This window comes from Homo sapiens, chromosome 8 (assembly GCF_000001405.40).
Source record: "Homo sapiens chromosome 8, GRCh38.p14 Primary Assembly".
In the NCBI taxonomy this organism is placed as follows: domain Eukaryota; kingdom Metazoa; phylum Chordata; class Mammalia; order Primates; family Hominidae; genus Homo; species Homo sapiens.
In genome coordinates, this window is record NC_000008.11 from 44,154,271 (window position 1) to 44,170,829 (window position 16,559).

The 16,559-nt window shown below is 39.1% G+C and overlaps 1 annotated feature.

Annotated features, from left to right (window-relative positions):
* Window positions 1-16,559: part of a centromere (Linear centromere model derived predominantly from reads generated in PMID: 17803354. This region does not represent an actual centromere sequence, as long-range ordering of repeats and unmapped WGS contigs is not provided by the model. For details of model production, see http://arxiv.org/abs/1307.0035.) that runs on past both edges of the window.

Here is a 16,559-nt window from a genome sequence, read left to right on the forward strand (position 1 = left end):
CTAACAGTGTTGATCCATTCTTTTGATACAGCAGTTTTGAACCACACTTTTTGTAGAATCTGCAAGAGGATATTTGGATAGCTGTGAGGATTTCGTTGGAAACGGGAATGTCTTCAAAGAAAATCTAGACAGAAGCATTCTCAGAAACACCTTCGTGATGTTTGCAATCAAGTCACAGAGTTGAACCTTCCGTTTCATAGAGCAGGTTGGAAACACTCTTTTTGTAGTATCTGGAAGTGGACATTTGGAGCGCTTTCAGGCCTATGGTGAAAAAGGAAATATCTTCCCATAAAAACGACATAGAAGCTATCTCAGGAACTTGTTTATGATGCATCTAATCAACTAACAGTGTTGAACCTTTGTACTGACAGAGCAGTTTGAAACACTCTTTTTTTGGAATCTGCAAGTGGATATTTGGATCGCTTTGAGGATTTCGTTGGAAACGGGATGCAATATAAAACGTACACAGCAGCATACTCAGAAAATACTTTGCCATATTTCCATTCAAGTCACAGAGTGGAACATTCCCATTCATAGAGCAGGTTGGAAACACTCTTTTTGGAGTATCTGGAAGTGGACATTTGGAGCGCTTTCTGAACTATGGTGAAAAAGGAAATATCTTCCAATGAAAACAAGACAGAAGCATTCTGAGAAACTTATTTGTGATGTGTGTCCTCAACAAACGGACTTGAACCTTTCGTTTCATGCAGTACTTCTGGAACACTTTTTGAAGATTCTGCATGCGGATATTTGGATAGCTTTGAGGATTTCGTTGGAAACGGGCTTACATGTAAAAATTAGACAGCAGCATTCTCAGAAACTTCTTTGTCGTGTCTGCATTCAAGTCACAGAGTTGAACTTCCCCTCACATAGAGCAGTTGTGCAGCACTCTATTTGTAGTATCTGGAAGTGGACATTTGGAGGGCTTTGTAGCCTATCTGGAAAAAGGAAATATCTTCCCATGAATGCGAGATAGAAGTAATCTCAGAAACATGTTTATGCTGTATCTACTCAACTAACTGTGCTGAACATTTCTATTGATAGAGCAGTTTTGAGACACTCTTCTTTTGGAATCTGCAAGTGGATATTTGGATAGATTTGAGGATTTCGTTGGAAACGGGATTATATATAAAAAGTAGACAGCAGCATTCTCAGAAACTTCTTTGTGATGTTTGCATCCAGCTCTCAGAGTTGAACATTCCCTTTCATAGAGTAGGTTTGAAACCCTCTTTTTATAGTGTCTGCAAGCGGGCATTTGGAGCGCTTTAAGGCCTATGCTTAAAATAGGAAATATCTACCTACAGAAACTAGACAGAAGCATTCTGAGAATCACGTTTGTGATGTGGGTACTCAACTAACAGTGTTGATCCATTCTTTTGATACAGCAGTTTTGAACCACACTTTTTGTAGAATCTGCAAGAGGATATTTGGATAGCTGTGAGGATTTCGTTGGAAACGGGAATGTCTTCAAAGAAAATCTAGACAGAAGCATTCTCAGAAACACCTTCGTGATGTTTGCAATCAAGTCACAGAGTTGAACCTTCCGTTTCATAGAGCAGGTTGGAAACACTCTTATTGTAGTATCTGGAAGTGGACATTTGGAGCGCTTTCAGGCCTATGGTGAAAAAGGAAATATCTTCCCATAAAAACGACATAGAAGCTATCTCAGGAACTTGTTTATGATGCATCTAATCAACTAACAGTGTTGAACCTTTGTACTGACAGAGCAGTTTGAAACACTCTTTTTTTGGAATCTGCAAGTGGATATTTGGATCGCTTTGAGGATTTCGTTGGAAACGGGATGCAATATAAAACGTACACAGCAGCATACTCAGAAAATACTTTGCCATATTTCCATTCAAGTCAGAGAGTGGAACATTCCCATTCATAGAGCAGGTTTGAAACACTCTTTTTGGAGTATCTGGAAGTGGACATTTGGAGCGCTTTCTGAACTATGGTGAAAAAGGAAATATCTTCCAATGAAAACAAGACAGAAGCATTGTGAGAAACTTATTTGTGATGTGTGTCCTCAACAAACGGACTTGAACCTTTCGTTTCATGCAGTACTTCTGGAACACTCTTTTTGAAGATTCTGCATGCGGATATTTGGATAGCTTTGAGGATTTCGTTGGAAACGGGCTTACATGTAAAAATTAGACAGCAGCATTCTCAGAAACTTCTTTGTGGTGTCTGCATTCAAGTCACAGAATTGAACTTCCCCTCACATAGAGCAGTTGTGCAGCACTCTATTTGTAGTATCTCGAAGTGGACATTTGGAGGGCTTTGTAGCCTATCTGGAAAAAGGAAATATCTTCCCATGAATGCGAGATAGAAGTAATCTCAGAAACATGTTTATGCAGTATCTACTCAACTAACTGTGCTGAACATTTCTATTGATAGAGCAGTTTTGAGACACTCTTCTTTTGGAATCTGCAAGTGGATATTTGGATAGATTTGAGGATTTCGTTGGAAACGGGATTATATATCAAAAGTAGACAGCAGCATTCTCAGAAACTTCTTTGTGATGTTTGCATCCAGCTCTCAGAGTTGAACATTCCCTTTCATAGAGTAGGTTTGAAACCCTCTTTTTATAGTGTCTGGAAGCGGGCATTTGGAGCGCTTTCAGGCCTATGCTTAAAATAGGAAATATCTACCTATAGAAACTAGACAGAAGCATTCTGAGAATCACGTTTGTGATGTGGGTACTCAACTAACAGTGTTGATCCATTCTTTTGATACAGCAGTTTTGAACCACACTTTTTGTAGAATCTGCAAGTGGATATTTGGATAGCTGTGAGGATTTCGTTGGAAACGGGAATGTCTTCATAGAAAATTTAGACAGAAGCATTCTCAGAACCTTGATTGTGATGTGTGTTCTCCACTAACAGAGTTGAACCTTTCTTTTGACAGAACTGTTCTGAAACATTCTTTTTATAGAATCTGGAAGTGGATATTTGGAAAGCTTTGAGGATTTCGTTGGAAACGGGAATATCTTCAAATAAAATCTAGCCAGAAGCATTCTAAGAAACATCTTAGGGATGTTTACATTCAAGTCACAGAGTTGAACATTCCCTTTCACAGAGCAGGTTTGAAACAATCTTCTCGTACTATCTGGCAGTGGACATTTTGAGCTCTTTGGGGCCTATGCTGAAAAAGGAAATATCTTCCGACAAAAACTAGACAGAAGCATTCGCAGAATCACGTTTGTGATGTGTGCACTCAACTGTCAGAATTGAACCTTGGTTTGGAGAGAGCACTTTTGAAACACTCTTTTTGTAGAATCTGCAGGTGGATATTTGGCTAGCTTTGAGGATTTCGTTGGAAACGGTAATGTCTTCAAAGAAAATCTAGACAGAAGCATTCTCAGAAACACCTTCGTGATGTTTGCAATCAAGTCACAGAGTTGAACCTTCCGTTTCATAGAGCAGGTTGGAAACACACTTTTTGTAGTATCTGGAAGTGGACATTTGGAGGGCTTTGTAGCCTATCTGGAAAAAGGAAATATCTTCCCATGAATGCGAGATAGAAGTAATCTCAGAAACATGTTTATGCTGTATCTACTCAACTAACTGTGCTGAACATTTCTATTGATAGAGCAGTTTTGAGACACTCTTCTTTTGGAATCTGCAAGTGGATATTTGGATAGATTTGAGGATTTCGTTGGAAACGGGATTATATATAAAAAGTAGACAGCAGCATTCTCAGAAACTTCTTTGTGATGTTTGCATCCAGCTCCCAGAGTTGAACATTCCCTTTCATAGAGTAGTTTTGAAACCCTCTTTTTATAGTGTCTGGAAGCGGGCATTTGGAGCGCTTTCAGGCCTATGCTGAAAAAGGAAATATCTACCTATAGAAACTAGACAGAAGCATTCTGAGAATCACGTTTGTGATGTGGGTACCTCAACTAACAGTGTTGATCCATTCTTTTGATACAGCAGTTTTGAACAACACTTTTTGTAGAATCTGCAAGTGGATATTTGGATAGCTGTGAGGATTTCGTTGGAAACGGGAATGTCTTCATAGAAAATTTAGACAGAAGCATTCTCAGAACCTTGATTGTGATGTGTGTTCTCCACTAACAGAGTTGAACCTTTCTTTTGACAGAACTGTTCTGAAACATTCTTTTTATAGAATCTGGAAGTGGATATTTGGAAAGCTTTGAGGATTTCGTTGGAAACGGGAATATCTTCAAATCAAATCTAGCCAGAAGCATTCTAAGAAACATCTTAGGGATGTTTACATTCAAGTCACAGAGTTGAACATTCCCTTTCACAGAGCAGGTTTGAAACAATCTTCTCGTACTATCTGGAAGTGGACATTTTGAGCTCCTTGGGGCCTATGCTGAAAAAGGAAATATCTTCCGACAAAAACTAGACAGAAGCATTCGCAGAATCACGTTTGTGATGTGTGCACTCAACTGTCAGAATTGAACCTTGGTTTGGACAGAGCACTTTTGAAACACTCTTTTTGTAGAATCTGCAGGTGGATATTTGGCTAGCTTTGAGGATTTCGTTGGAAACGGTAATGACTTCAAAGAAAATCTACACAGAAGCATTCTCAGAAACACCTTCGTGATGTTTGCAATCAAGTCACAGAGTTGAACCTTCCGTTTCATAGAGCAGGTTGGAAACACTCTTTTTGTAGTATCTGGAAGTGGACATTTGGAGGGCTTTGTAGCCTATCTGGAAAAAGGAAATATCTTCCCATGAATGCGAGATAGAAGTAATCTCAGAAACATGTTTATGCTGTATCTACTCAACTAACTGTGCTGAACATTTCTATTGATAGAGCAGTTTTGAGACACTCTTCTTTTGGAATCTGCAAGTGGATATTTGGATAGATTTGAGGATTTCGTTGGAAACGGGATTATATATAAAAAGTAGACAGCAAGCATTATCAGAAACTTCTTTGTGATGTTTGCATCCAGCTCTCAGAGTTGAACATTCCCTTTCATAGAGTAGGTTTGAAACCCTCTTTTTATAGTGTCTGGAAGCGGGCATTTGGAGCGCTTTCAGGCCTATGCTTAAAATAGGAAATATCTACCTACAGGAACTAGACAGAAAGCATTCTGAGAATCACGTTTGTGATGTGGGTACTCAACTAACAGTGTTGATCCATTCTTTTGATACAGCAGTTTTGAACCACACTTTTTGTAGAATCTGCAAGAGGATATTTGGATAGCTGTGAGGATTTCGTTGGAAACGGGAATGTCTTCAAAGAAAATCTAGACAGAGCATTCTCAGAAACACCTTCGTGATGTTTGCAATCAAGTCACAGAGTTGAACCTTCCGTTTCATAGAGCAGGTTGGAAACACTCTTTTTGTAGTATCTGGAAGTGGACATTTGGAGCGCTTTCAGGCCTATGGTGAAAAAGGAAATATCTTCCCATAAAAACGACATAGAAGCTATCTCAGGAACTTGTTTATGATGCATCTAATCAACTAACAGTGTTGAACCTTTGTACTGACAGAGCACTTTGAAACACTCTTTTTTTGGAATCTGCAAGTGGATATTTGGATCGCTTTGAGGATTTCGTTGGAAACGGGATGCAATATAAAACGTACACAGCAGCATACTCAGAAAATACTTTGCCATATTTCCATTCAAGTCACAGAGTGGAACATTCCCATTCATAGAGCAGGTTGGAAACACTCTTTTTGGAGTATCTGGAAGTGGACATTTGGAGCGCTTTCTGAACTATGGTGAAAAAGGAAATATCTTCCAATGAAAACAAGACAGAAGCATTCTGAGAAACTTATTTGTGATGTGTGTCCTCAACAAACGGACTTGAACCTTTCGTTTCATGCAGTACTTCTGGAACACTCTTTTTGAAGATTCTGCATGCGGATATTTGGATAGCTTTGAGGATTTCGTTGGAAACGGGCTTACATGTAAAAATTAGACAGCAGCATTCTCAGAAACTTCTTTGTGGTGTCTGCATTCAAGTCACAGAATTGAACATCCCCTCACATAGAGCAGTTGTGCAGCACTCTATTTGTAGTATCTGGAAGTGGACATTTGGAGGGCTTTGTAGCCTATCTGGAAAAAGGAAATATCTTCCCATGAATGCGAGATAGAAGTAATCTCAGAAACATGTTTATGCTGTATCTACTCAACTAACTGTGCTGAACATTTCTATTGATAGAGCAGTTTTGAGACACTCTTCTTTTGGAATCTGCAAGTGGATATTTGGAGAGATTTGAGGATTTCGTTGGAAACGGGATTATATATAAAAAGTAGACAGCAGCATTCTCAGAAACTTCTTTGTGATGTTTGCATCCAGCTCTCAGAGTTGAACATTCCCTTTCATAGAGTAGGTTTGAAACCCTCTTTTTATAGTGTCTGGAAGCGGGCATTTGGAGCGCTTTCAGACCTATGCTTAAAATAGGAAATATCTACCTACAGAAACTAGACAGAAGCATTCTGAGAATCACGTTTGTGATGTGGGTACTCAACTAACAGTGTTGATCCATTCTTTTGATACAGCAGTTTTGAACCACACTTTTTGTAGAATCTGCAAGTGGATATTTGGATAGCTGTGAGGATTTCGTTGGAAACGGGAATGTCTTCATAGAAAATTTAGACAGAAGCATTCTCAGAACCTTGATTGTGATGTGTGTTCTCCACTAACAGAGTTGAACCTTTCTTTTGACAGAAATGTTCTGAAACATTCTTTTTATAGAATCTGGAAGTGGATATTTGGAAAGCTTTGAGGATTTCGTTGGAAACGAGAATATCTTCAAATAAAATCTAGCCAGAAGCATTCTAAGAAACATCTTAGGGATGTTTACATTCAAGTCACAGAGTTGAACATTCCCTTTCACAGAGCAGGTTTGAAACAATCTTCTCGTACTATCTGGCAGTGGACATTTTGAGCTCCTTGGGGCCTATGCTGAAAAAGGAAATATCTTCCGACAAAAACTAGACAGAAGCATTCGCAGAATCACGTTTGTGATGTGTGCACTCAACTGTCAGAATTGAACCTTGGTTTGGACAGAGCACTTTTGAAACACTCTTTTTGTAGAATCTGCAGGTGGATATTTGGCTAGCTTTGAGGATTTCGTTGGAAACGGTAATGTCTTCAAAGAAAATCTAGACAGAAGCATTCTCAGAAACACCTTCGTGATGTTTGCAATCAAGTCACAGAGTTGAACCTTCCGTTTCATAGAGCAGGTTGGAAACACTCTTTTTGTAGTATCTGGAAGTGGACATTTGGAGGGCTTTTTAGCCTATCTGGAAAAAGGAAATATCTTCCCATGAATGCGAGATAGAAGTAATCTCAGAAACATGTTTATGCTGTATCTACTCAACTAACTGTGCTGAGCATTTCTATTGATAGAGCAGTTTTGAGACACTCTTCTTTTGGAATCTGCAAGTGGATATTTGGATAGATTTGAGGATTTCGTTGGAAACGGGATTATATATAAAAAGTAGACAGCAGCATTCTCAGAAACTTCTTTGTGATGTTTGCATCCAGCTCTCAGAGTTGAACATTCCCTTTCATAGAGTAGGTTTGAAACCCTCTTTTTATAGTGTCTGGAAGCGGGCATTTGGAGCGCTTTCAGGCCTATGCTTAAAATAGGAAATATCTACCTACAGAAACTAGACAGAAGCATTCTGAGAATCACGTTTGTGATGTGGGTACTCAACTAACAGTGTTGATCCATTCTTTTGATACAGCAGTTTTGAACCACACTTTTTGTAGAATCTGCAAGAGGATATTTGGATAGCTGTGAGGATTTCGTTGGAAACGGGAATGTCTTCAAAGAAAATCTAGACAGAAGCATTCTCAGAAACACCTTCGTGATGTTTGCAATCAAGTCACAGAGTTGAACCTTCCGTTTCATAGAGCAGGTTGGAAACACTCTTATTGTAGTATCTGGAAGTGGACATTTGGAGCGCTTTCAGGCCTATGGTGAAAAAGGAAATATCTTCCCATAAAAACGACATAGAAGCTATCTCAGGAACTTGTTTATGATGCATCTAATCAACTAACAGTGTTGAACCTTTGTACTGACAGAGCAGTTTGAAACACTCTTTTTTTGGAATCTGCAAGTGGATATTTGGATCGCTTTGAGGATTTCGTTGGAAACGGGATGCAATATAAAACGTACACAGCAGCATACTCAGAAAATACTTTGCCATATTTCCATTCAAGTCACAGAGTGGAACATTCCCATTCATAGAGCAGGTTGGAAACACTCTTTTTGGAGTATCTGGAAGTGGACATTTGGAGCGCTTTCTGAACTATGGTGAAAAAGGAAATATCTTCCAATGAAAACAAGACAGAAGCATTCTGAGAAACTTATTTGTGATGTGTGTCCTCAACAAACGGACTTGAACCTTTCGTTTCATGCAGTACTTCTGGAACACTCTTTTTGAAGATTCTGCATGCGGATATTTGGATAGCTTTGAGGATTTCGTTGGAAACGGGCTTACATGTAAAAATTAGACAGCAGCATTCTCAGAAACTTCTTTGTGGTGTCTGCATTCAAGTCACAGAATTGAACTTCCCCTCACATAGAGCAGTTGTGCAGCACTCTATTTGTAGTATCTGGAAGTGGACATTTGGAGGGCTTTGTAGCCTATCTGGAAAAAGGAAATATCTTCCCATGAATGCGAGATAGAAGTAATCTCAGAAACATGTTTATGCTGTATCTACTCAACTAACTGTGCTGAACATTTCTATTGATAGAGCAGTTTTGAGACACTCTTCTTTTGGAATCTGCAAGTGGATATTTGGATAGATTTGAGGATTTCGTTGGAAACGGGATTATATATAAAAAGTAGACAGCAGCATTCTCAGAAACTTCTTTGTGATGTTTGCATCCAGCTCCCAGAGTTGAACATTCCCTTTCATAGAGTAGGTTTGAAACCCTCTTTTTATAGTGTCTGGAAGCGGGCATTTGGAGCGCTTTCAGGCCTATGCTGAAAAAGGAAATATCTACCTATAGAAACTAGACAGAAGCATTCTGAGAATCACGTTTGTGATGTGGGTACTCAACTAACAGTGTTGATCCATTCTTTTGATACAGCAGTTTTGAACCACACTTTTTGTAGAATCTGCAAGTGGATATTTGGATAGCTGTGAGGATTTCGTTGGAAACGGGAATGTCTTCATAGAAAATTTAGACAGAAGCATTCTCAGAACCTTGATTGTGATGTGTGTTCTCCACTAACAGAGTTGAACCTTTCTTTTGACAGAACTGTTCTGAAACATTCTTTTTATAGAATCTGGAAGTGGATATTTGGAAAGCTTTGAGGATTTCGTTGGAAACGGGAATATCTTCAAATAAAATCTAGCCAGAAGCATTCTAAGAAACATCTTAGGGATGTTTACATTCAAGTCACAGAGTTGAACATTCCCTTTCACAGAGCAGGTTTGAAACAATCTTCTCGTACTATCTGGCAGTGGACATTTTGAGCTCCTTGGGGCCTATGCTGAAAAAGGAAATATCTTCCGACAAAAACTAGACAGAAGCATTCGCAGAATCACGTTTGTGATGTGTGCACTCAACTGTCAGAATTGAACCTTGGTTTGGACAGAGCACTTTTGAAACACTCTTTTTGTAGAATCTGCAGGTGGATATTTGGCTAGCTTTGAGGATTTCGTTGGAAACGGTAATGTCTTCAAAGAAAATGTAGACAGAAGCATTCTCAGAAACACCTTCGTGATGTTTGCAATCAAGTCACAGAGTTGAACCTTCCGTTTCATAGAGCAGGTTGGAAACACTCTTTTTGTAGTATCTGGAAGTGGACATTTGGAGCGCTTTCAGGCCTATGGTGAAAAAGGAAATATCTTCCCATAAAAACGACATAGAAGCTATCTCAGGAACTTGTTTATGATGCATCTAATCAACTAACAGTGTTGAACCTTTGTACTGACAGAGCAGTTTGAAACACTCTTTTTTTGGAATCTGCAAGTGGATATTTGGATCGCTTTGAGGATTTCGTTGGAAACGGGATGCAATATAAAACGTACACAGCAGCATACTCAGAAAATACTTTGCCATATTTCCATTCAAGTCACAGAGTGGAACATTCCCATTCATAGAGCAGGTTTGAAACACTCTTTTTGGAGTATCTGGAAGTGGACATTTGGAGCGCTTTCTGAACTATGGTGAAAAAGGAAATAACTTCCAATGAAAACAAGACAGAAGCATTCTGAGAAACTTATTTGTGATGTGTGTCCTCAACAAACGGACTTGAACCTTTCGTTTCATGCAGTACTTCTGGAACACTCTTTTTGAAGATTCTGCATGCGGATATTTGGATAGCTTTGAGGATTTCGTTGGAAACGGGCTTACATGTAAAAATTAGACAGCAGCATTCTCAGAAACTTCTTTGTGGTGTCTGCATTCAAGTCACAGAATTGAACTTCCCCTCACATAGAGCAGTTGTGCAGCACTCTATTTGTAGTATCTGGAAGTGGACATTTGGAGGGCTTTGTAGCCTATCTGGAAAAAGGAAATATCTTCCCATGAATGCGAGATAGAAGTAATCTCAGAAACATGTTTATGCTGTATCTACTCAACTAACTGTGCTGAACATTTCTATTGATAGAGCAGTTTTGAGACACTCTTCTTTTGGAATCTGCAAGTGGATATTTGGATAGATTTGAGGATTTCGTTGGAAACGGGATTATATATCAAAAGTAGACAGCAGCATTCTCAGAAACTTCTTTGTGATGTTTGCATCCAGCTCTCAGAGTTGAACATTCCCTTTCATAGAGTAGGTTTGAAACCCTCTTTTTATAGTGTCTGGAAGCGGGCATTTGGAGCGCTTTCAGGCCTATGCTTAAAATAGGAAATATCTACCTACAGAAACTAGACAGAAGCATTCTGAGAATCACGTTTGTGATGTGGGTACTCAACTAACAGTGTTGATCCATTCTTTTGATACAGCAGTTTTGAACCACACTTTTTGTAGAATCTGCAAGAGGATATTTGGATAGCTGTGAGGATTTCGTTGGAAACGGGAATGTCTTCAAAGAAAATCTAGACAGAAGCATTCTCAGAAACACCTTCGTGATGTTTGCAATCAAGTCACAGAGTTGAACCTTCCGTTTCATAGAGCAGGTTGGAAACACTCTTTTTGTAGTATCTGGAAGTGGACATTTGGAGTGCTTTCAGGCCTATGGTGAAAAAGGAAATATCTTCCCATAAAAACGACATAGAAGCTATCTCAGGAACTTGTTTATGATGCATCTAATCAACTAACAGTGTTGAACCTTTGTACTGACAGAGCAGTTTGAAACACTCTTTTTTTGGAATCTGCAAGTGGATATTTGGATCGCTTTGAGGATTTCGTTGGAAACGGGATGCAATATAAAACGTACACAGCAGCATACTCAGAAAATACTTTGCCATATTTCCATTCAAGTCACAGAGTGGAACATTCCCATTCATAGAGCAGGTTGGAAACACTCTTTTTGGAGTATCTGGAAGTGGACATTTGGAGCGCTTTCTGAACTATGGTGAAAAAGGAAATATCTTCCAATGAAAACAAGACAGAAGCATTCTGAGAAACTTATTTGTGATGTGTGTCCTCAACAAACGGACTTGAACCTTTCGTTTCATGCAGTACTTCTGGAACACTCTTTTTGAAGATTCTGCATGCGGATATTTGGATAGCTTTGAGGATTTCGTTGGAAACGGGCTTACATGTAAAAATTAGACAGCAGCATTCTCAGAAACTTCTTTGTGGTGTCTGCATTCAAGTCACAGAATTGAACTTCCCCTCACATAGAGCAGTTGTGCAGCACTCTATTTGTAGTATCTGGAAGTGGACATTTGGAGGGCTTTGTAGCCTATCTGGAAAAAGGAAATATCTTCCCATGAATGCGAGATAGAAGTAATCTGAGAAACATGTTTATGCTGTATCTACTCAACTAACTGTGCTGAACATTTCTATTGATAGAGCAGTTTTGAGACCCTCTTCTTTTGGAATCTGCAAGTGGATATTTGGATAGATTTGAGGATTTCGTTGGAAACGGGATTATATATAAAAAGTAGACAGCAGCATTCTCAGAAACTTCTTTGTGATGTTTGCATCCAGCTCTCAGAGTTGAACATTCCCTTTCATAGAGTAGGTTTGAAACCCTCTTTTTATAGTGTCTGGAAGCGGGCATTTGGAGCGCTTTCAGGCCTATGCTTAAAATAGGAAATATCTACCTACAGAAACTAGACAGAAGCATTCTGAGAATCACGTTTGTGATGTGGGTACTCAACTAACAGTGTTGATCCATTCTTTTGATACAGCAGTTTTGAACCACACTTTTTGTAGAATCTGCAAGAGGATATTTGGATAGCTGTGAGGATTTCGTTGGAAACGGGAATGTCTTCAAAGAAAATCTAGACAGAAGCATTCTCAGAAACACCTTCGTGATGTTTGCAATCAAGTCACAGAGTTGAACCTTCCGTTTCATAGAGCAGGTTGGAAACACTCTTATTGTAGTATCTGGAAGTGGACATTTGGAGCGCTTTCAGGCCTATGGTGAAAAAGGAAATATCTTCCCATAAAAACGACATAGAAGCTATCTCAGGAACTTGTTTATGATGCATCTAATCAACTAACAGTGTTGAACCTTTGTACTGACAGAGCAGTTTGAAACACTCTTTTTTTGGAATCTGCAAGTGGATATTTGGATCGCTTTGAGGATTTCGTTGGAAACGGGATGCAATATAAAACGTACACAGCAGCATACTCAGAAAATACTTTGCCATATTTCCATTCAAGTCACAGAGTGGAACATTCCCATTCATAGAGCAGGTTTGAAACACTCTTTTTGGAGTATCTGGAAGTGGACATTTGGAGCGCTTTCTGAACTATGGTGAAAAAGGAAATATCTTCCAATGAAAACAAGACAGAAGCATTCTGAGAAACTTATTTGTGATGTGTGTCCTCAACAAACGGACTTGAACCTTTCGTTTCATGCAGTACTTCTGGAACACTCTTTTTGAAGATTCTGCATGCGGATATTTGGATAGCTTTGAGGATTTCGTTGGAAACGGGCTTACATGTAAAAATTAGACAGCAGCATTCTCAGAAACTTCTTTGTGGTGTCTGCGTTCAAGTCACAGAATTGAACATCCCCTCACCATAGAGCAGTTGTGCAGCACTCTATTTGTAGTATCTGGAAGTGGACATTTGGAGGGCTTTGTAGCCTATCTGGAAAAAGGAAATATCTTCCCATGAATGCGAGATAGAAGTAATCTCAGAAACATGTTTATGCTGTATCTACTCAACTAACTGTGCTGAACATTTCTATTGATAGAGCAGTTTTGAGACACTCTTCTTTTGGAATCTGCAAGTGGATATTTGGATAGATTTGAGGATTTCGTTGGAAACGGGATTATATATAAAAAGTAGACAGCAGCATTCTCAGAAACTTCTTTGTGATGTTTGCATCCAGCTCTCAGAGTTGAACATTCCCTTTCATAGAGTAGGTTTGAAACCCTCTTTTTATAGTGTCTGGAAGCGGGCATTTGGAGCGCTTTCAGGCCTATGCTTAAAATAGGAAATATCTACCTACAGAAACTAGACAGAAGCATTCTGAGAATCACGTTTGTGATGTGGGTACTCAACTAACAGTGTTGATCCATTCTTTTGATACAGCAGTTTTGAACCACACTTTTTGTAGAATCTGCAAGAGGATATTTGGATAGCTGTGAGGATTTCGTTGGAAACGGGAATGTCTTCAAAGAAAATCTAGACAGAAGCATTCTCAGAAACACCTTCGTGATGTTTGCAATCAAGTCACAGAGTTGAACCTTCCGTTTCATAGAGCAGGTTGGAAACACTCTTATTGTAGTATCTGGAAGTGGACATTTGGAGCGCTTTCAGGCCTATGGTGAAAAAGGAAATATCTTCCCATAAAAACGACATAGAATCTATATCAGGAACTTGTTTATGATGCATCTAATCAACTAACAGTGTTGAACCTTTGTACTGACAGAGCAGTTTGAAACACTCTTTTTTTGGAATCTGCAAGTGGATATTTGGATCGCTTTGAGGATTTCGTTGGAAACGGGATGCAATATAAAACGTACACAGCAGCATACTCAGAAAATACTTTGCCATATTTCCATTCAAGTCACAGAGTGGAACATTCCCATTCATAGAGCAGGTTGGAAACACTCTTTTTGGAGTATCTGGAAGTGGACATTTGGAGCGCTTTCTGAACTATGGTGAAAAAGGAAATATCTTCCAATGAAAACAAGACAGAAGCATTCTGAGAAACTTATTTGTGATGTGTGTCCTCAACAAACGGACTTGAACCTTTCGTTTCATGCAGTACTTCTGGAACACTCTTTTTGAAGATTCTGCATGCGGATATTTGGATAGCTTTGAGGATTTCGTTGGAAACGGTCTTACATGTAAAAATTAGACAGCAGCATTCTCAGAAACTTCTTTGTGGTGTCTGCATTCAAGTCACAGAATTGAACTTCCCCTCACATAGAGCAGTTGTGCAGCACTCTATTTGTAGTATCTGGAAGTGGACATTTGGAGGGCTTTGTAGCCTATCTGGAAAAAGGAAATATCTTCCCATGAATGCGAGATAGAAGTAATCTGAGAAACATGTTTATGCTGTATCTACTCAACTAACTGTGCTGAACATTTCTATTGATAGAGCAGTTTTGAGACACTCTTCTTTTGGAATCTGCAAGTGGATATTTGGATAGATTTGAGGATTTCGTTGGAAACGGGATTATATATAAAAAGTAGACAGCAGCATTCTCAGAAACTTCTTTGTGATGTTTGCATCCAGCTCTCAGAGTTGAACATTCCCTTTCATAGAGTAGGTTTGAAACCCTCTTTTTGTAGTGTCTGGAAGCGGGCATTTGGAGCGCTTTCAGGCCTATGTTTAAAATAGGAAATATCTACCTACAGAAACTAGACAGAAGCATTCTGAGAATCACGTTTGTGATGTGGGTACTCAACTAACAGTGTTGATCCATTCTTTTGATACAGCAGTTTTGAACCACACTTTTTGTAGAATCTGCAAGAGGATATTTGGATAGCTGTGAGGATTTCGTTGGAAACGGGGATGTCTTCAAAGAAAATCTAGACAGAAGCATTCTCAGAAACACCTTCGTGATGTTTGCAATCAAGTCACAGAGTTGAACCTTCCGTTTCATAGAGCAGGTTGGAAACACTCTTATTGTAGTATCTGGAAGTGGACATTTGGAGCGCTTTCAGGCCTATGGTGAAAAAGGAAATATCTTCCCATAAAAACGACATAGAAGCTATCTCAGGAACTTGTTTATGATGCATCTAATCAACTAACAGTGTTGAACCTTTGTACTGACAGAGCAGTTTGAAACACTCTTTTTTTGGAATCTGCAAGTGGATATTTGGATCGCTTTGAGGATTTCGTTGGAAACGGGATGCAATATAAAACGTACACAGCAGCATACTCAGAAAATACTTTGCCATATTTCCATTCAAGTCACAGAGTGGAACATTCCCATTCATAGAGCAGGTTGGAAACACTCTTTTTGGAGTATCTGGAAGTGGACATTTGGAGCGCTTTCTGAACTATGGTGAAAAAGGAAATATCTTCCAATGAAAACAAGACAGAAGCATTCTGAGAAACTTATTTGTGATGTGTGTCCTCAACAAACGGACTTGAACCTTTCGTTTCATGCAGTACTTCTGGAACACTCTTTTTGAAGATTCTGCATGCGGATATTTGGATAGCTTTGAGGATTTCGTTGGAAACGGGCTTACATGTAAAAATTAGACAGCAGCATTCTCAGAAACTTCTTTGTGGTGTCTGCATTCAAGTCACAGAATTGAACTTCCCCTCACATAGAGCAGTTGTGCAGCACTCTATTTGTAGTATCTGGAAGTGGACATTTGGAGGGCTTTGTAGCCTATCTGGAAAAAGGAAATATCTTCCCATGAATGCGAGATAGAAGTAATCTCAGAAACATGTTTATGCTGTATCTACTCAACTAACTGTGCTGAACATTTCTATTGATAGAGCAGTTTTGAGACACTCTTCTTTTGGAATCTGCAAGTGGATATTTGGATAGATTTGAGGATTTCGTTGGAAACGGGATTATATATAAAAAGTAGACAGCAGCATTCTCAGAAACTTCTTTGTGATGTTTGCATCCAGCTCTCAGAGTTGAACATTCCCTTTCATAGAGTAGGTTTGAAACCCTCTTTTTATAGTGTCTGGAAGCGGGCATTTGGAGCGCTTTCAGGCCTATGCTGAAAAAGGAAATATCTACCTATAGAAACTAGACAGAAGCATTCTGAGAATCACGTTTGTGATGTGGGTACTCAACTAACAGTGTTGATCCATTCTTTTGATACAGCAGTTTTGAACCACACTTTTTGTAGAATCTGCAAGTGGATATTTGGATAGCTGTGAGGATTTCGTTGGAAACGGGAATGTCTTCATAGAAAATTTAGACAGAAGCATTCTCAGAACCTTGATTGTGATGTGTGTTCTCCACTAACAGAGTTGAACCTTTCTTTTGACAGAACTGTTCTGAAACATTCTTTTTATAGAATCTGGAAGTGGATATTTGGAAAGCTTTGAGGAT